General features: G+C 44.0%; 1 protein-coding gene across 12 annotated transcripts in view; it reads right to left on the bottom strand.

Annotated features, from left to right (window-relative positions):
- ATP8A2 (ATPase phospholipid transporting 8A2) overlaps positions 1-20,834 on the bottom strand; it is a 653,878-nt gene that overhangs the window by 525,080 nt on the left and 107,964 nt on the right. Inside the window, exon 1 of one of the 12 annotated variants that reach the window (XM_011535109.4) lies at positions 11,113-13,110. The exons of the other annotated variants lie outside the window; for them this stretch is intronic. The gene's annotated coding sequence lies outside the window, so the exon portion shown is untranslated. Of the gene's footprint in view, positions 1-11,112; positions 13,111-20,834 lie in introns of those variants that run through there. 12 annotated transcript variants of the gene reach the window in all.

Here is a 20,834-nt window from a genome sequence, read left to right as displayed (position 1 = left end):
ACCTCTACAAAAAGGACAAAAAAAATTAGTCGAGTGTGGTGATGCATGCCTGTGGTCCCAGCTACTCAGGAGGCTGAGGTGGGAGGATCACCTGAGCCGTGGAGGTTGGGGTAAGCCAAGATCGCACCACTGCACTCCAGACTGGGCAACAGAGTGAGACCCTGTCTCAAAAAAAAAATTATATATTGGGCCTCAAGTTACCACTGTTATTACTCTCATGGTCTTTATATTCTGCTTTAATTTCATTTCACTTTAGTTCATTTCTCTAACACTGTATGAGCACTCCACACAATATTATGGAGATAATCCCTGTCTGCACTGTAACACTAATGCATTGTTTTAATTGACTAAGACATTTAAAACCTTTAGTAAGTTTAAAGGTGTTATTTTAATGAGACAAATCTTACCTGCATATCCTATGATGTTACACCTGAATATTTCAATTACACCTTCAGAAAAGCTCTACAATAACATAATTGAGTTCCCTTGAATTCTCTAGGGCAAACAAGAGCCCTCTCTCCCCAGCAGTTTCTAATAACTTGTGTGGCACCTCGCTCACCCTATTGTGCCTTCCTTCCAAGTCCAGGGAAACAGGAATCTTAGTGATCTGTATCATACTTCAAGATAAGAAGGGAGCAGGCAATACATTTATGGAGGGCACTTTGATAACTATAAAATGAAAGATTTATGAGGAAATAATCTACTCTTCCCCCATGACACACACGCCTTGCTGAACCATGGGGTTGTCATGTTTGGGGAGTTTCAGCTGTGCTACCCTAGGACTAGAGGGTAGCATAGCTGTCCTCTGCCCTTGCTGTCTTCTCTGCCTGGTATCTTCCTCCCACCCTGCTCTACCTCCCGTTTCTCACACCTTAACACAATCATCACTTCCACAGTGAGTTGCCCGTTGGTCTTCCCCTACCCTATCCCAACTTTTCCTTATGTCTCCTGTTTATTTTAACAGCCCTTATTATAATCTGAAGTTATCTAGTTCTTGTGTTTACTGTCTGTTTTCCTAACTGAACCAGCTCAGGTAAGTACTCCACAAATATTAAATAAAATAGTACACTGGAGAGGAGAACCAGTACGTGTGTTTGGCAGAGTTTGAGATAATAGCCACACCATTCCTGAATGAATAGAATATGATGTCCCCAACAAGAAATTATTGGCATCCAACCTGGTAATTAATATATGTCAGGCAATTGACCTTTAAACAAATCTGCTAGATGAGCACCAACTTACAGAGGTGGAAACGCTCTCGAAGAAGGTGTTGACTGGCCCAGGCTCACATAGCTAGGCAATAGCTAAACCAAGATTCAACCCCCCAAACATGACAACACGTGGTTCACCAAGGTGTCTGTGTTATCAGGGCCAAGTGCGTCTGGCTCCAAATCTCATGTTCTGAAACATTCCACCGGATACAGATTCAGAACTAGGCATTATTTGTGAAGTAGGGTCTTATATATAGCTCTACCTGCAAGTCACACTCAAGACTCATCTCCCTCTAGGTTTGTTTCTGTGAGTAACACATTCACCTTTGCCAAGTCTTCCTTAAATGCTGCACTCAATTTAGTGAGGGTTACTATACACTAGGGTCTGGGCCCATAGTTGGCCTGAGGGAGTACTAACAGGTAATTAGGCCAGAATATAGGGCAACAATTGGCGCAGGATAGAGAATGGATCTTGGGGGCAGTTATCCCCTGCCACATGGAGATTCTATTTTATTGTCAAATATAAGGAATCTCAGTTTTACTTTCCTTAACCGAAGTGTCCATTTCCTCCTATGTACTGATTAGAACAACACGTTAGCACTACTCTGTATATAAACAGTCTCTGGGTACAGGACTCAGTATCCTGCCACCGAAGATGAAGCACAGTGGCTAAAAGCATGAGCTCTGCCACTGCACTCCTGGGTCTGCCATGAGCCCCAGGCTTGTTATTTAATCAGTCCATGCCTCACTTTCATCATCTGCAAAATGGAAGTCAAACATTGAGTTAACAGAAATAAAATGTTTATAACGGCATCGGGGACATAGTATGTTCTCAACAAATGTTAGCTCTTCCTAATATTATTTAAACCCCTACCTTCAATTTTGACTTGAACACATCTGCAGGGTGTTAGAAAAACTTTTCAGACTAGATTCATGCTATCTAATATCATCCTCTGAGCTTGGCCGAGGTAGGGTATTAACAGGATTATCCACATTGGCCAATTCTATGACCAAAAAGATCAGCTTACCTGTTAAGCACATCATCAGTAACAAGACAAAGGTAGACTCCATGTCTGAGAGACTGAATCTGCAGCATCATTGGAGAATTAATGATAACCAGAAATAGATGTGCATATGTAAACAAGCATTCTGTAGAATGGGTGATCATGGAAGGACTCGAGTCCCTTTATAAGGCAGAGCTTACTGATTTATTTCTATGATGAGAAATTTTAAAGGTGAAATATCAAATTCTATTAGTGAGAATCCACTATCTGAAAATCCAAGCAGGCACACAAATATTGCTGCTGTATTTGCTGCCTTGATACTGATGTTTTCCTCACAAATATGCACCATTCATAGTATGAGCACCTGTTTATCTCTCCAGCACTGCAAGTCTCACCCTATTGACCATTAAATCCTAACAATGAGCATGACACCTGCCCCGTATTGGGTGCCCAAAATTTTCAACTCATATCCGGAGCACGTGTGTCCACATGTATGGGTATACAGCATATGGATCAGGTGAAACAGGCAACAATTATAATGAACAAGTACTAGACAATGAAAATCTTGCTTTTATTATTATTATTATTATTATTTGAGACGGAATCTCTCTCGGTTGCCCAGGCTGGAGTGCAGTGGCGCGATCTCGGCTCACTGCAACCTCTGCCTCCCAGGTTCATGCCATTCTCCTGCCTCAGCCCCCCGAGTAGCTGGGACTACAGGTGCCTGCCCCCACACCCAGCTAATTTTTTTTATTTTTTATTTTTAGTAGAGACAGGGTTTCACCGTATTAGCCAGATGGTCTCCATCTCCTGACCTCATGATCCGCCTGCCTCGGCCTCCCAAAGTGCTGGCTGGGATTACAGGCATGAGCCACCGTGCCCGGCTGAAAATCCTATTTTTAAATAGTTATTTTCAAGAGGGGAGATAGACTAGGAAAAAGCAGTGGTCTAAATGATAGATATTTGCTTAGGTTGGCTTAACACACCTTCAAATTCTCCCATTAATGGAAAAATAAACTAACACTGCAGAATCAAATAAACATTCATGTGCATTCATACATTAAAACAGCCTTTATTTTCCCCTGAAATCTGAAAAAGTATTATCTAAACCAAATTAGATAGTGCAAACTCAATTTTCATTCAGCTATTAAACTTTTGATTTCCCTTAATCGTCAGTAATTTAATAGGCAATCAGTCCTAAAACTAACCATTCTTTTGAATGGTTAAATTAAACCTAAAAACTACTCTGTGTTTAACTCAGTCTAAAATGTGTTAGAGTAAAATATGAAGCCTACAAATTTCACAGAAATAATAGCTCCTTTCACGACTTTAATCACACATAATATTCCTTCTGTTTTTGATACTACTAATGGCCCACCTCAAACTTCAAAGAATTTCTCAAATCAGGTGATTAACCTGTGTTGATCATGATACTTCACATATTGTGGACACCCCACCACCTGCTCACATGAAGAACACACACCTGCAGGAGGTGACTGGTCCTCTGAGGGCCCCGCAGCCTGCCGAGGGAGTCAGACCCTGCACCTTGGTCTCATTAGCACGATGGTCTCAACACTTCAGCACTGTGCCAGCCAAACATAAGCCGTGCCCAGAGCAGCTTTACATCCAAAGGGCTGAATTAACACATCAACCCACACAAGCAGATTATAATATTGAGATTTCCCATTTCCTCCTGATATTTTAATAAGAATATTAAATACTCTAGTACAAAAGCACAGCAATGCATTAATCCAAAATGTGACCTGCATACAAAGGTCAACTCCACCTGTGCCTCTCTAAGAGAACAAATTGTTCCTCTAAGTAAATAGGACTTTTTTTAAAATCCTGGGCTATTAGAGATCAGAGCACCTGATAATCATCAAGCTCTGTTACCTTCCAATTTACTGATGATAAGGAAAACAACATTTCCTGAAAACCCGAAGTGTTCTGGGCACTATGCTCATCATGTGTTTGTTCACATGTATTTTGTTTTTTTGCATCATTTATTTAGCCTTCAAATATCCACTCCTTTTTGCCAGTGAGGAAATTGAGGTCCATTTAGATTAAGTCACTATTTATTTTTTTCAGATTTCCTAAACTGTTTCTTTCAGCAATTAACTATAATGTGAAAAGAAAAAAAGTATTCTCTCCTCTTCAATGTAGATTTCATGCAGGGGTTCAAAATAAGCCAGACGCAATAGGAAAATGATCAGGTGGTCTAACATCCAAGCTGGAGGTGGCACATGAGCCAGGGGTGTGAGACTCTCAGTTTCCCCAGAGCTGCTTCCATGTGCCAAGATGCTCCCAATCCTTTTTCTCCCACTCAGTCTCCTCTTCAACAATGATTCATTTTAATTACATAATTACATAAAGTCATCAATTGTAGGAATGGCTTCCTACAATTAAACTTGGTAAAACAGTCAAGCAAAGAAAGCCCACACCCTCACTCCTTCCACAGGACAGCACCTTTCAAAGAAGTCAGACAATACAGCCAGGTTACCCTCGGGTGTTTCACGGGGAACATCTAGTGTTGGAGCATACAGCCTGAATGTGCATGAGCCCTGGTGATGAGAGTTCTGGTGGATAAACTGCTCAGTTAGTGCTGCCTGTATAAAGATGAGCAAGAATCCTGTTCTCTTTGTTCAAAGGGTTTTAATCCAGAAAGATGAAATATATTCGAACCAAGCAGCTTGAGGTGTACAGCTCAGATCAAGGTATACACAGTATGAAACTGTCAGAACACAGCCATGGGAAGTATAAAAGTGACTTTAAGCTATAAAAACAGACAGGGGTCTAGAGCAGTGGCTCATGTCTGTAATCCCAGCACTTTCAGAGGCCAAGGCAAGAGGATCTCCTGAAGTCAGGAGTTCGAGACCAGACTGAGCAACATAGTGAGACCCCATCTCTTAAAAAAAAAAAAAAAAAAAAAAAAGCAAGGCATGCATGGTGCATGCCTGTGGTCCCAGCTTCTTGGGAGGCTGAAGCAGGAGGAGGGCTTGAAGCCAGGAGTTGGAGCCTGCAATGAGCTACGATCATGCCACTGCACTCCAGCCTGGGTAACAGAGCAAGACTCTGTCTCTTAAAAAGCAAAAATACAACCAAAAAACCAAATAGGTAGGAAGAGAGAGCAGAGAAAAGGTAAGGAAGGGTCCTTCCACCTCCATCTGTGCTTTCCAGCTCTCGCCCACACAAGACTCACAACCCCACAACACCTCACCCAGTCCTCATCAACCCTTCCAGATCCAATCCTGCTGCTTCTTGGACTCATTCAAACCCCTTCTCAGCCTCTTACACAGGCCATTTCCAAGGCAATGGCACACTCTGGCCTTTCCTGAACAAAGACAGGTGGTAAAGTGGGTTGGAAGAAGCCCAGCCCCACCCTGGAAGGGCAGCAGCAGGAGGTTATAACTGGAACGTTGTCGACTTCCTGTTCTTGTTGTGTTTGCCCAAATGTCCTCAACGTGCTCAGGAACAACAACCAAGGTGGGCTTACATAGGTGTTTGGTTTGGGAGGTAGCTGGCCACAGGGAAATCTGCGGAGACACCTAATTCAGACAGTTTAAGAAGCAGAATCTTAAACAGATTTGAGAGGCAAGAGATGTGAAAAGAAAGCAAGCTGTCACCCAAGGGCTGCTAGCCAGCAGAGGGCCTCTAGGGAACTAGAAGGACATTGCAAAGCTCCGGGCTGGACCCCTAGGTCTGTGTGATTTTGCTGACATCACTGTGAAAAAAGAAATCATTACAAAGTCGAATTCGCTCACAGCTAGAAGGATTCGGACAGAAGGTGTCCAAAACAGTAAAAGGGAAGATGCTGTTAACTGTGTTTGAAAACAATTATAAAAATGTCAGAAGCTTCAAATCAGTTTTTATCCTTATGTTTTCAGTTTTTTAAACACAGATGAAGGCCCTGTGAATATCAGAACAACAGCAACGCGCTTCTAAAATATAGATGCAGATACCACAGAGCCTGCCCCTCATAAAAACAAACAAGCAGGCAAACAAACAGAAAAGCGGGCTGTGTCCCCACAGTCTCCTCTCTTTTCATATAATCCTTCCTACCTTCATCCCTGCCAAACAGGCTTTCATACCCTTTGCAGCATGGCTTTGTTCCCAGGAAACCTAATAAGATATTTATGATTGTTTCAATATTGGCAGCAGGAGTCTCTGCAGTGGCAGAAAGGTCAAAGCGATCCCTCCAACTACCCCCACCGCCCACCTTGGAGATTACATCTACTATACACACAATTAAATGCAGCAGACCCAGACTGATCTTTTCCTTGTAATTTTTTTAATCACCAAAGGATTAAGAAACGGAAGTACATTATTCAACACAGCAATTCTAAGTGGGTCCCTTAACAGACATTGACCCACATGTGTTTTCTGATGTCACCTAGGTTCTTGGTGCCACAGACCTTGGACAGCTCCCTGCCCCATGCACCATCCTGGCTGTTCCAACCGTTCTCTCTCCTCAAACTCTCCGCCCTACCCCAGCCCCTTCACTTTGAGCACTCTGCCTCCTCCCCATTTCATGGAGTAAACTGAAGCTTTAGAGTGGACGTGATTCACCTTGACACCCACACACACAAACCGACTCCCAAAGCTCTTTCCACCCTATTGATAAAGAAGTCTCTCTTCTTCTTGCCCAAATCAATAAACATTGCACCTGAGCTCACCTACTGGCAGCCCTCCTTTCCTGGTTAGCCCCTACACCTCCCAGGGCTCCTGTGCCACCTCCCCTCCACACTCCTTTTCCTGACCCTGAAACAGAGATCATCCCTGAGGTTTTCTGCCTTTGGTCTTTATTCAATGCACTGAACCATCTTTTCCATGTATGGCTGAAATTAGCACCAGTGTACTCATCAAATGGTTATCAAATTCACCCCCAGCTTGGATGTCTACCACAAGCTCTGTCTAGACCAGCATATTTAACTTCTCTGGATACACCTACCTGAATGTCCACAGACTCTGCAAGATCAACGTGATGACAACTGATGTCTTCACTTCCGGTTCCCGCATATGTTTAGTAATCCCACAGTGAGCTTTCTCAACTAAGCCAAAGAGTTGAGAAAACACCAAGGAAGCAAAAATAAAAAGCATAAAACAAAAAATGCCCTACCAAAAAGTTACACCAACAAATGGTTTAAGCGCCCCCATCAAATGAAAAAGGATCTCTGTGGGGATTTTCTTATGTAACTTCAAAAAATTAAAAACAAAGTTATGAGTAGTCATATAACACAAACATGAGCAAAAAGAAAGGAAAGGCTAAAATAGTAACATCACCACCAAGTTTAAGACAGAAATAATTAATGAGCATAAGGCCAGAGTAAAAATTACAGCCACATTACCACCAGTGTGGTACACTTTATTTTACATAAAATTAAATTTTACTCAAAATGTAAATTATGTTTTACATGAAAACATGTAAAACAAAATTCACAAGCAAATGGACCAAGAAAGCTGTAACAGGAGATTGATGCTATTATCAAACTGACTAATTGGACAGGCTAAAAATACAGATTCAAAAAATGTAATTAAAATGTCTAAACAAATGAATTTTGGAGCCTATGGAGAATACATCTTCCTTCCAAGCACAAAGGGAAACCTGGAATAAGTCCCTCGCTCCTCGTGCAGGCACTAAAGCAACAGGGAACGGACCCCACATCCTTGGACCACCTCCATGTCTTGCCAGTTTCTTCTTTTGCCAAAGGAAACTGGGCCCCACCTGCCTCAGACACTCCAAACAGCAGGGGCTGCGGTCACTGTAATAACAAGCCAACAGGTAATGGAAACACTTTCCCCACCACGATCAGAGCACAGCTTAGGGTCCATTCAACCACAGGATTTCAGAATTGAGGGAAACGTTGAAAACTCTCATTAAAGCCCTTCCCTTCACACAGTAGGAAACTGAGGGCTTATAAGACGCAGTGCTACATCTACAGAAACACAACTACACGGGGTGGGAGGAGCTGCACTCAAAGGTTAGAAACAGTAGGAGGGTCCAGACTGGGTCAAGGCTGGGCATCTTGTGATGATGGCTGAGGGTGCTGATGTCCCCAGTGTGTTTCACACCAAGAGAATTTTTTTTGTAAGCAGCCCCCTTCTCTATGTGGCAAAATTTCTTTCAGTGATAACTATAAAGAACATAAAATTGACCAAAAAAGAAACAAACAGCAAAAATAGTCTTTATTAAACTTGCATCTAGGCCAGGCATGGTGACTCATGCCTGTAATCCCAGCACTCTGGGAGGCTGAGGTGGGTGGATCACCTGAAGTCAGGAGTTCAAGAACAGCCTGGCCAACATGGTGAAACCCCATCTCTACAAAAATACAAAAATTAGCTGGGCATGGTGGCAGGTGCCGGTAAACCCAGTTACTTGGGAGGCTGAGGCAGGAGAATTGCTTGAACCCAGGAGGCAAAGGTTGCAGTGAGCCGAAATCACAACATGGCACTCCAGCCTGGACAACAGAGTGAGACTCCGTCTCAAAAACAAAAAAAATAAAACTGCATCTAATCATGCCAGTAAATAAAATAATAAAAATTTTTATCGTCCAAAAAAAAGAGAATAAAGCACAAGTATTTATTCAATGGTTTTTATATCTATGTAACAACTTGAATTTTGATCCTTTGGTTACAGACTGATACAATATTTATGTCATTAATTGGCAAGTAACTAATAAGTGAAATTTAACAAAACCAATGCTCTATCAAAGGTATAAACACCTACTAAATCACACCACTAATGTCATATTTTCTTTTCTTGACTTGGTCTTCAATTTTAAAACAATGAATAATTATTAATGAATTTCAATTGTAAGAATCTAGGAAAAATTTACCAAACTAAAATGTGAGCTTACCAAACAAAATATCATACCCTGCAGTTCATACTCTGTTTTGCTATCTTAAATGTTAGATGTAAAAAACCCCACGTGGTCACATAAAATGACAGAATCGAAGTAACTCAAGTTCTACTTTCTTAGTGTTTATAAACGCTGTACTGTCACTATTTCATAGCTACTATGTAAACTCAGGCGTCGGGCATGGTGACTCACACTTGCAATCCCGGCACTTTGAGAGTCTCTGCTGGAAGGATCACTTGAGGCCAGGAGTTCAAGACCAGGCTGGGCAACATAGCAAGACCCCATCTCTACAAAATAATCATAAATAAGTACATAAACTAACTAACTCCAGAATATGTAGCACCATGGGGCTCCTGGAGAGCACTGTGTCCAAAGGGAACTCCAGACCTGTCCTAACTCTTAGGACCTTGCTCTCAAAATGCACATGTACTGTTCAGTTGGTTGTGGGCACTGGAGACAGAGGGTTAACTGGGAATGCTCCTAATGAATTTCCACGTAGAATATAATCGTCACTTAAAAGAAATAAATCAAGTCCAACAGCACTTCAAAAAAAAAGAAAAAGTAAATAAAATAAATATGTGCTACATTGAAGAATATATGTGTGTATATTTTATATATATACACACTATATCTGCTATATACATATGTGAAATCTTTAAAAGTAGCCAGGCTTGTGACTGTAATCCCAGCAACTTGGGAGGCTGAGGTGGGAGGATCACTTAGGGGCAGGAGTTTGAGACCAGCCTGGGCAACACAGCAACACATCAAGACCCTCTAAATTTTTTCTTTAATTAGTCACGCATGGTGACGTGTGCCTATATTCCCAGCTACTTACGAGGTTGAGGTGGGAGAATTTGAGGCTGTAATGAAGTATGACTGTACCACTGCACTCCAGCCTGGCCCACAGAGTAAGACCTCCTCTCCAAAAAAAACAAAAAACAAAAAACAAACAAACAAACAAACAAAAAAAAAACAAAAAAACTAATTAGTAGTCACGGCAATTATTTAGAATTTAGTCCAAAAGAAGGCTTTTGCAGGGAGGAGAATGTTACTGCTGGTACACGGAGATGATTAAAAGCAGATGGACTTTTAGTGGGTTTTATTGTGTGGACCTTCTTATTGCCTGCACCTCAGGCAGACCACTCCCTAATGCATCCCACACAGCCTGTGATGCTCACCGACTGTAGGAACTCAGGCAAGTTATGTAACTCTTTCTGGTGTGTTTCCTCATCTGTGCCATGGAGATGCCAGCTGGGACTGGCTCTGCCTCACATCTGAGGCTCCTGGAGGACAGCAGCTTCAGGCATGGGAGCCCCGGCTCCTGGCCCGTCCGTGCTGTGCTCCGCGAGGAGAGCTTCTAAGGAAAGTGCTGTGGGAATTAAAGCTATACGGGGCTAGCCCTGTGAAGAGTGAAGCACCCACCTTACGGCTCAGGAAAAACAGGCCAGGAGGCTGCTCGGAGTTTCTCTCCCGTAACTCTTCTTTAAGAGGCTAAGGGCATGAGCCAGAGAGCAGGAGGAAAAAGGGGCCACGAACTTAGCCATGGAAATGGATCATTCAACATGTGTGTTCTCTACTACACTTCCCTTACTCAAATATACCCGAAAAGCTAAGGAGTAACCTTGCAGGCAGAGCCCTCGATATTCCACCACTGCGCTGCAACACCAAGCACCAAGACAGTATACACCGACTACCATAAAAAAATTTGTTGAACACACAAGTTTTAAACCTTGACCAACATAAATGACTAAGGATGCCAGCTGTCACATTAAATCCCAAATGTACCTCCATTTGAGGGTAGATATCCATCTGCCAAGTCTGAAGAAATTGGCATTAAAAGCATTTACCTCGGCAGCCCCCTTTTAGGAGTAGTTTATATATGAAAGTACAACATCAACACTACACAATACATCAATTTCCGAGGCATAAGTAACTGCACATCACCATGGGGGTTCTACTTTGTTCAATAAGCAATTAAGTGTGAAGGGATATCTGAGAACAACACATTAAGCCAATTCTCATTTTCTGTTCAATTCTGACCTTCGCTTGCAGAGCGCAGTCCTTCAGCAAAGGTTTTCCACTTCCCATTGGCAGGAACTGTGCGTCGTGCTGGGGAGGATGCGAGGGGAAACAGACAGACTTTGTCATCAAGGATGACACAGCAGAGCAGGAGAGTCAGAGATGGATAAAAATAGATGTGGTGCAGCATGCTAAGTTCCAGAGCAAAAGAGTCTGAGAAACGCTGCGGCACAGAGGGGCTGCCTCCGCCTGCAAACGGTGGAGATGCAGGACGAGGAAGAAAATGCTTGCTTACAGAGATGCAACCTGAGCCTGAAAAACAGGGCCCTCCAGGAGGACGAACTTGAGTAGATTAGGAGACAGTGTTCCAGGGAAAGTGCCGTGATTAAAGGCTGCAGCCAGACACAGGAAGAGGAGCCTGGGGAGATGGTGCGGTAAGCCGGGAATAGAACGAGAGTGGCCTTGTGTATCTTACTGGAGACAAAAGAGAAGCAGCGATGGTCCCTCAACAGGGAGAATCACAGTGCCTTGGCTGTTTTAGAACGATAACCACCAGCAATCGGGAAGGTGAAAGGGAAACTCTGTCACAGGTGGAGACACGAGAGACTGAACCAGCGCCAGTGCCATGAAAACAATCCACTCAACAAAAAAGCAGATCTGGTTTAAAATCTATACCCACCCCATCAAGCGTCCTCCTGGGCACTATGACTCTGTACCCTGGTCCTGGTGTATCCCAACCTAGCCAGGGTTGTCAGGGAAAGATGCAAATGGTAAAGTCAACCAGACAGCAAAAATGGGGGGTGGGGGGTGGGGGAGTCATCTGAATTTCCTTTAATCATTTATACCTATTTTTTAAAAAGTGGTGCTTACTGTGGTACACAGCAAGACATGAGATAAAGCATAGAAAAAGGACAAAAACACCACCAAAAATGACCGTGTGATAGAGTACTAAGACTGCTTTTGGTTTTTTTCTTCTTGAGACAGGTATGGCTCTGATGCCCAGGCTGGAGTGCAGTGGCATGATTTTGGCTCACTGCAACCTCCACCTCCCAAGTAGTTGGGACTACAGGCGCATGCCACCACACCTGGCTAATTTTTGTATTTTTCATAAAGAAAGGGTTTTGCCATGTTGCCCTGGTCTCAAACTCCTGAGCTCAAGCAATCCTCCCACCTCAGCCTCCCAAAGTGCTGGGATTACAGGCATGAGCCACCATGCCCAGGCAAGACTCCTTGTAATGGTAAAGTTGTAATTACTATATCAACGAGCAATAAGACTATTACATGAGGGACCTGGAGAAGTCAAATACACAGGGACAGAAAGTAGAACGGTGACTGCCAGGGGCACGGGGAGGAAGAACAGGGAGTTGTTTAACAGGGACAGAGTATCAGTTTTGCAAGATGAAAAGCTTTCTGGAGATTGGCTGCACACCAGTGTGACTATCCTTAACACTACTGAATCGTATACTTAAATATAATAAAGAAGATAAATTTCATGTTATGTGTATTTTACCACAATAAAGAGAAAAAAGAAAGAAAAAAGAGCAACAAGCCTACCCAACCTGTCAAACAGGAAGGGATATACGATATCCACGGCCACTGTACTGTGTCCTAGGCATTTTTGCATCTGAAATCTCATTTAGCTTCCCGACATGCTTTCTAGGGAAGTGTGTTTCCATCAAACAAACAAGGAAAGTCAGACTCAGCGAAATCATGGACTTGACCTAAGGTCATTCACTTGGTCCCTGGTAGAGCCAAGACTCATGTACTTGTTATGTTTTGTTCCTTATACTATAGCTAATTACCCTCCCACTCAGGCTATTACAAAAAAAAAAAGAAAGAAAGAGAGAAAGATTACACTGCATGTTTTTTCCATTACATGTTTAATAATTTAAAGTTCTCCATGATAACCTCAGGCAAACTAGAATTAATCTTCAAAATCAGGTTAGTGCAAAAAGAAAACATTTCTAGTTTGTTCCTGAAACACATTCATCCTATTCGATATGCACCTTACCTTTTAATCTCTACTAATACAAGACAATACCTGGTTTTTTTTGTAAAACCCAAGTGGTACATTCCAAAATTGATGGGAGAGTTGTTGTCAAACACACTATCTAAAATGCAACTACAGCAACAGCAAAATATATAAAGCACTCAGTGAGGTGCTGTTTAAAGTGCCTCATGCATATTAACTCATTTAATCTTCAAAAAATTCCTATGAACTATACATTGTTGCATGAGGGTGACAACAAATGAGGACCGCCTTCAGCAAAATCACCAGGAGTGCTGGCTACAAACAGAAATCAGAGCCTGCCCCAGACGAAATGAACCTAGATTTTTCTTATGCAATGGAAGGCTAAAAATAAAATACCTGATCTATATATCATCGATTCGCCAACCAAGTTACCTTTATATGCACAAAACAGGAAATGAGAGGTACATGACAGCCTGTGGAATACAAAAATGCCACGAACGAGAACTGGAAAGCAAAAGTAAATACTAGCACTGACATCATTCTGCAAAGACTCCGCAAAATTGTATTTGAGAATTTTATGGAGAACATAAACCTTGGCAAAAAGGTTTTACAAACAATTCACCTTTTTAGTTAGAGACTGTCTTTCAAGTCTTACTAAGCAGATAATACATCTTAGCTCATCACTTCTGCATAACTCAACCACAGCTCTATTTGTTATATTATTACTATTAATATTTTTAATTGAGACAGGGTTTTCCTCCGTCACCCAGGCTGGAGTGCAGTGGTGCAATCTCAGCTCACTTTAACCTCCACCCCCCAGGCTCAAGCGATCCTCCACCTCAGCTTCCCAAGTAGCTGGGACCACAGGCGTGCATCACCATGCTCAGCTAATTTTTTGTACTTTTGATAGAGATGGGGTTTCACCATGTTGCCCCACGCTGGTCTCAAACTCCTGAGCTCAGGCGAAGCACCTGCCTCAGCCTCCCAAAGTGCTGGGATTACAGGTGTGAGCTACCATGCCCAGCCTCTATTTGTTGTAACAATTGTTCCACGGGTATATGTGGAGCCATGTTGATGCTGTCCTAATTTTAAAATATTCAATGTATTTCAAACAGTAAGCAGCACATAAGTTTCTTTTAAAGGGCTACATATTCAGACTCTCTTCATTTTTTTCTAATGGTTGTATCTCAAAATATCAAAATTCATCATGTCCCTTAACACAATAGTTCAAAAAAATGGCACATAATAAATTTATCTTCAGGATATATAAGAAAACATACTTGGCTGTGAAGAATGCTAAATCAATATCTTTAAACTATTTATATAAAAAGTACTATGGTTTAAAATCCAAGTCAGTTAACTTTCTTATAATCTACTCTTCTAAAATATTTATAAATATCACAGGTTGATTTCTATAAAAAACGTATTTAACTCTATGGCAAACACCAGCACTGAATTGAAAATAGCTTCTTGTCTACTTAAGTGCATGACACATGATAAAAAAAATATTTGGAATACTGCATTGCACATTGCACCCATCAACCATCCATACAAAATACTAGCAAAGGGACCATAAAACTAGACACAGAAGGACCTCAGAAAGTGAACTAGACACAGGAAAAGACTGTCAGCAAGTAACAGATAGTCTCCAGCTTTCTCAGCATTTCCTCAGAGTTCGTACATACTAATATGGAGTACTGGAGTTTGGGGGTACAATTTTAGGGGCAAAAAATTGAAAGCTTTTCCAACCCTCATTTAAATTTTTGTTGAGTATAGGAGCAATGTTGTCAATTGGTGAAATAAGAAAACTCACTCTTTCCCAACAATGTGATAGAACACCCAACAACATATGAAGAGGTCACATATGCTCCCTGGGGCAGTCCTGAAGAGTCATCTCTATAAATGGGTCTGTGACTATCAAACTAAACATTAAGAGAACTACTAAATTCCTGACAGTCCAATACTAACTCAAATATAATGTGAGAATTAACGTTTTGTTATAGTAATTAAACATGTTTGCAGTTGTTATGGGTCGACTGCCACTTATGCGTCGGCCACAGTCTAGAACCATCATCTGGGACTCACAGGAAGCCTCGATGCAGAGGAAGAACTTTCAACACCAGCTCACTGTGGACTAGAATGGTTTTCCAGGTGAAATGGTGTGTCCCCCAGGAAGACAGATGTTCATGTGTAGGCCCAGTGAATTATAAGCGTTAAAAGATATGGCATGTGCCTATGTGTGTACACATTTAGATAAAGCAGTGGAAGGAGGTTGGTAAAAGTATGAAAAGAAATCTTCCCTTATGTTGTTTTCTGTCTTGGAGTTTTTTGACTTTCCAATGTCCACATTGTTTGGCTTACAAATATGACTGACCCATGTACAGAGAATAATGGTGGTACCTCCCCAACATACACACACACACGCACTATCCTGTACTTAAAATTACTTCCTCTGCTATGTCTAATCTTATACAGTGAACAAAACTTTGTTGAAATAGGTGTAGTGTTGAAACTGCATGACAGCTGACAGTCAAAACAGTGATACTGAGAGAAGTTCATGTTTCTGCCTTACCACGGCATCGTCATTATGTGAAATTATTCAGTTTACTCTGGTACATCACTGTTAGAATGGTCAATGAATTCTAATTTGTAAAGGTAACATTAAAAAATGACTATGAGGCAGTTTTAACAAAGCTGAGTACTAGAGAAATAATTGTGATACTATTCAGCAAATGGCCTTACTGTTTTAAAATAAAGAGCTCTATTTTTAAACTGTCAGAGCTTGGTAACGTGTTTCATATGCTAGACAGCAATACTTTCAAAACTTCCACCTTTCACTGGAATAAAAACAAAAGTGTCATATTTTTTATTCAATAATTTAAAGAATATTCCTGCCGGTTGCGGTCGCTCACGCCTGTAATCCCAACAATTTGGGAGGCTGAGGCAGGCGGATCACTTGAGGTCAGGAGTTCGAGGCTAGCCTGGCCAACATAGTGAAATTCCATCTCTACTAAAAATACAAAAAAATTAGCCGGGCCTGCTGGTGAACGCCTGTAGTCCCAGCTGCACAGGAAGCTGAGGCAGGAGAATCACCTGAATCCGGGAGTGGGATGTTGCAGTAAGCCAAGATCACGCCACTGCACTCCAGCCTGGGCAACAGCGAGACTCTGTCTCAAAAAAAGAAAAAATTTAAAATAAATAAATAAATAAATAATATTCCTTTATATCATTGAATCTACAGTTAAGTATTCAGTTTCCATATTATGCACAGTGCCAAGTTCCTCAGAGATATTCAAAGCAGAGCCCCACAGAGCCAAAAAGTTGATGGTCCCAAACAAGATGGAAGGGAAAAAAGGAGGGAGGGTAGAAAGATACAGATGCAGACTTTATAGTCACAATTCAATACAACTCTAGTCATACATGTGGACCAAGTTTAAGGTTTTAACCATTCTATCATAAAGAATTTTGGTGTTTGTTTGCAGGAGGAGGTGTCAGTGAATTTAATGTGAATTTATATGCAACTGTGTTCTTTCACGACACCAAAAGGAGAAGCCAGTTTCTTGATTTAACACCAATCCACACATGCACTCTCAAACACATTTTAGACTCATCTTATGCTCGCAGTCCAGCCTGCTTGTTCCTAGCAGTTACAGGCTAGAAAACATATATGTACAAAAGACCCTAATGCCCAAAACCTACCTTGTGATTCTTCAGCCTGCATATTTCTTCCCTTGGCAATGTGTAACTCTTGGGCAGAGTAATACGCAAGTCCACTTCCCTTTTCCCCGAGTTACAGCTTATAATTGATTGTTTTGGTTATCAAAGAATTAGAGAGCAAAATGAGTGGCAAAGAAGAACAACATTCGTAATAACCAGATAACTGGTGTCAATGAGCAACTCTGTGTGAGTCTGTGAGCTCTTACACAGTGCAGCCTTAAACAGGTACATTCTCATCTAATTATTTTTTTCTTGTAGACATAGGATCTCACTATGTTGCCCAGGCTGGTGTCAAACTCCTAGCCTCAAACAATCTTCCTGCCTTGGCCTCCCAAAGTGCTGGGATTACAGGCATGAGCCACTGTGCCCAGATGTTCTCATTTAATTCTCATCATGCTGTAAGCTATGACATTATTCTACTTCCAGTTTATTAATTGGAGTATCTTGAAACCAAACAGATCTAGAGGTAGGGAAAGATCTGTCAAAAGTTTGGTGTCTCTCCAAGAGCGCCAGTGCTGCCCCTACCTTGCTGGAGGAAGGAGCTCCTTCATGACGCAACCAACAGAGATCACCCCCTACATGTGTATCTCTGCTCCCCTGGGGTGGTCTCATACTGGGGTGAAAGGGGCTTTCTGCTATTCTGAGGTCAATCACCTTGCCCCATTCCACAGTTCAAAATAGTTCAAAACAAAACTCAGAAACACAAGAAACAGCATCAACACCTTCTCCGTCACTAACACTGGAACCTGGAAATCACACTTGCCTAGTGCTCTGTCCACTTACAGCCCCACTGCTAACCATCCCAAGTGCTTCTCTTCTCCTGCAGCAGTATAGCCCTGCACCTCTTCCTGGGCAATGACAGCAGCCTCATATGCTTATTCTAAATGCAGAGCAGGTGGCTGTGCACATCAAACCCAAGTACTATCTATCACTTTGTCACCTGGCTCATAAAAGCTTTTCTTGGCTATAGCAGCCCGTCTCCAGTAGCCTGGCCTTTCACAGCACTTTGTCCATCATCCCTTCTGTATTAGTCCGTTTTCACGCTGCTGATGAAGACATGCCCCAGACTGGGCAATTTACAAAAGAAAGAGGTTTAATTGGAATTACAGTTCCACATGGCTGGGGAAGCCTCACAATCATGGTGGAAGGCAAGGAGGAGCAAGTCCCGTCTTACATGGACGGCAGCAGGCAAAGAGAGAATGAGGAAGATGCAAAAGTGGAAACCCCTGATAAAACCATCAGCTCTCATAAGATTTATTCACTACCACGAGAATAGTATGGGGGAAACCGCCCCCATGATTCAATCATTTCCCACCAGGTCCCTCCCACAACATATGGGAATTATGGGAGCTACAATTCAAGATGAGATTTGGGTAGGGACCCAGAGCCAAACCACATCACCTTCTTCTTCCACATCTTTTCTGGAAAGACATACACCTGGCCGTTACACTCTTCTGCACCTCTGCACATGGGGTTCCCCATGTCTGGCCTGCCCTCCCCACCAAGCCCCACCCAAGTTTCCAGGCTGACTCGTACTCATCTTTCAGGCCCAGCTCATTGGTCTCTACTAGCAGTTTTGCCCCGTCCTTCTACTTTCCCACCCCTGCAGTGCTGCCACTAACCACGCACCCCCAATTCTTGACAGAGAGGGACTGCAATGCTTACCTCACATATACCAAATGTAGGATTATGAATGGTACTTAAGGAACAAGACTTATGATCAGTCTCAGAGTTCCTGGGGCCTAAAGTAAAAGTCAGACTGGGTCTGACCAGATGGTTTTCCTCTAAGGCGGGCCCTAATCAACTGAATCTAAAGCAGGTGGCTTCCAAGTGGGGTTTGGGAAGATGCTATCAGAGCTTATATTTATATATACCTCCAAAAAATAAGCTTCAGGAACATTTATTAAATGCACTGACACTGGTGTCCCAACGTAATTCTATGTAATGTGGCTGGAGAGGAACCTCTTTAATGGGAAGGGTGGGTGGTGCTATGGACTGAACTGTGTCCTTCCTAAAATTCATATGTTGAAGCCCTAACCCCCAATGTGATGGGATGCTACTGTTGGGCCCTTTTGGAGATAATTAGGATTAGATGAGGTCATGAGGGTGGGACCCTCAAGATGGGATTAGTGCCCTTATTAGAGACAGAGAGCTCTCACTCTGTCTCTCCTTCACTCTCGCTCTTGCTCTTGCTCACTCTCTCTGTTCTGGGAGGACATGGCAAGAAAGCAGCTATCTGCAAGCCAGGAGAGAGCCCGCACCAGAACCAGATCATGCTGGCACCCTGATCTTGGACTTCCAGCCTCTAGAACTATGAGAAGACGAACACCTGCTTACGCCCCCGCAGTCTATGTATTTTGCTATGGCAGCCTGAGCTAATACAGGGATAACAGTGGTACCCTCCCTGTCTGTCTCTCTCCTTACTACTACACATTTCAATTTCCAGGTCCCAGCTAGGTGGAGTCATCCATCACTTTATCCAATTTAAACTAAATTAACCCTCCCAAAAGAACAAATGGTTTAAGAATCATACAGGCATCCACATTCCTGGCTCAGGATGGAGGAGGAATGAAGGATGCATGGGCGTTGAGTCTCAGGAGGGCTCCTAGAACTGCCATGTGACTCTTCTGAGAGACCACTGGCCTGAAGTTGGCCACACAGTCGCTAGTTACAAGAGAAACTGGGAAATGCAGTCTGCATGTCCCATCAGAAAATGTGGGCAAAAACAATATTGGGAAGTAACTATGAAGACCAGTACTCCTGTCCCTGTCCCTGTCCCTGTCCCTGTTCCTCTCCCTGTCCCTCTCCCTCTCCCTCTCCCCACGGTCTCCCTCTCCCTCTCTTTCCACGGTCTCCCTCTGATGCCGAGCCGAAGCTGGACTGTACTGCTGCCATCTCGGCTCACTGAAACCTCCCTGCCTGATTCTCCTGCCTCAGCCTGCCTAGTGCCTGTGATTGCAGGCGCGCGCTGCCACGCCTGACTGGTTTTCATATTTTTTTGGTGGAGACGGGGTTTCGCTGTGTTGCCCGGGCTGGTCTCCAGCTCCTAACCGCGAGTGATCCACCAGCCTCGGCCTCCGGAGGTGCCAGGATTGCAGACGGTGTCTGGTTCACTCAGTGCTCAATGGTGCCCAGGCTGGAGTGCAGTGGCGTGATCTCGGCTCGCTACAACCTCCACCTCCCAGCCACCTGCCTTGGCCTCCCAAAGTGCCCAGAGTGCAGCCTCTGCCCGGCCGCCACCCCGTCTAGGAAGTGAGGAGCGTCTCTGCCTGGCCACCCATCGTCTGGGATGTGAGGAGCCCCTCTGCCTGGCTGCCCAGTCTGGAAAGTGAGGAGCATCTCTGCCCGGCCGCCATCCCATCTAGGAAGTGAGGAGCGCCTCTTCCCGGCCGCCATCCCATCTAGGAAGGGAGGAGCGTCTCTGCCCGGCCGCCCATCTTCTGAGATGTGGGGAGCGCCTTTGCCCCGCCGCCCCGTCTGGGATGTGAGGAGCGCCTCTGCCCGGCCGCGACCCCGTCTGGGAGGTGAGGAGCGTCTCTGCCCAGCCGCCCCATCTGAGAAGGGAGGAGACTCTCCGCCTGGCAACCGCCCCGTCTGAGAAGTGAGGAGCCCCTCCGCCCGGCAGCCACCCAGTCTGGGAAGTGAGGAGCGTCTCCGCCCGGCAGCCGCCCCGTCCGGGAGGGAGGTGGGGGTCAGCCCCCCGCCCGGCCAGCCGCCCCGTCCGGGAGGTAAGGGGCGCCTCTGCCCAGCCGCCCCTACTGGGAAGTGAGGAGCCCCTCTGCCCGGCCAGCCACTCCGTCCGGGAGGGAGGTGGGGGGGTCAGCCCCCCACCCGGCCAGCTGCCCCATCCGGGAGGGAGGTGGGGGGTCAGCCCCCCGCCCGGCCAGCCGCCCCGTCCGGGAGGTGAGGGGCGCCTCTGCCCAGCCGCCCCTACTGGGAAGTGAGGAGCCCCTCTGCCTGGCCACCACCCCGTCCGGGAGGTGTGCCCAACAGCTCATTGAGAACGGGCCATGATGACAATGGTGGTTTTGTGGAATAGAAAGCGGGGAAAGGT

The sequence above is a fragment of the Homo sapiens genome, chromosome 13 (assembly GCF_000001405.40).
Source record: "Homo sapiens chromosome 13, GRCh38.p14 Primary Assembly".
NCBI classification, from domain to species: Eukaryota; Metazoa; Chordata; class Mammalia; order Primates; family Hominidae; genus Homo; species Homo sapiens.
This window is presented reverse-complemented; position numbering and strand designations above follow the sequence as displayed.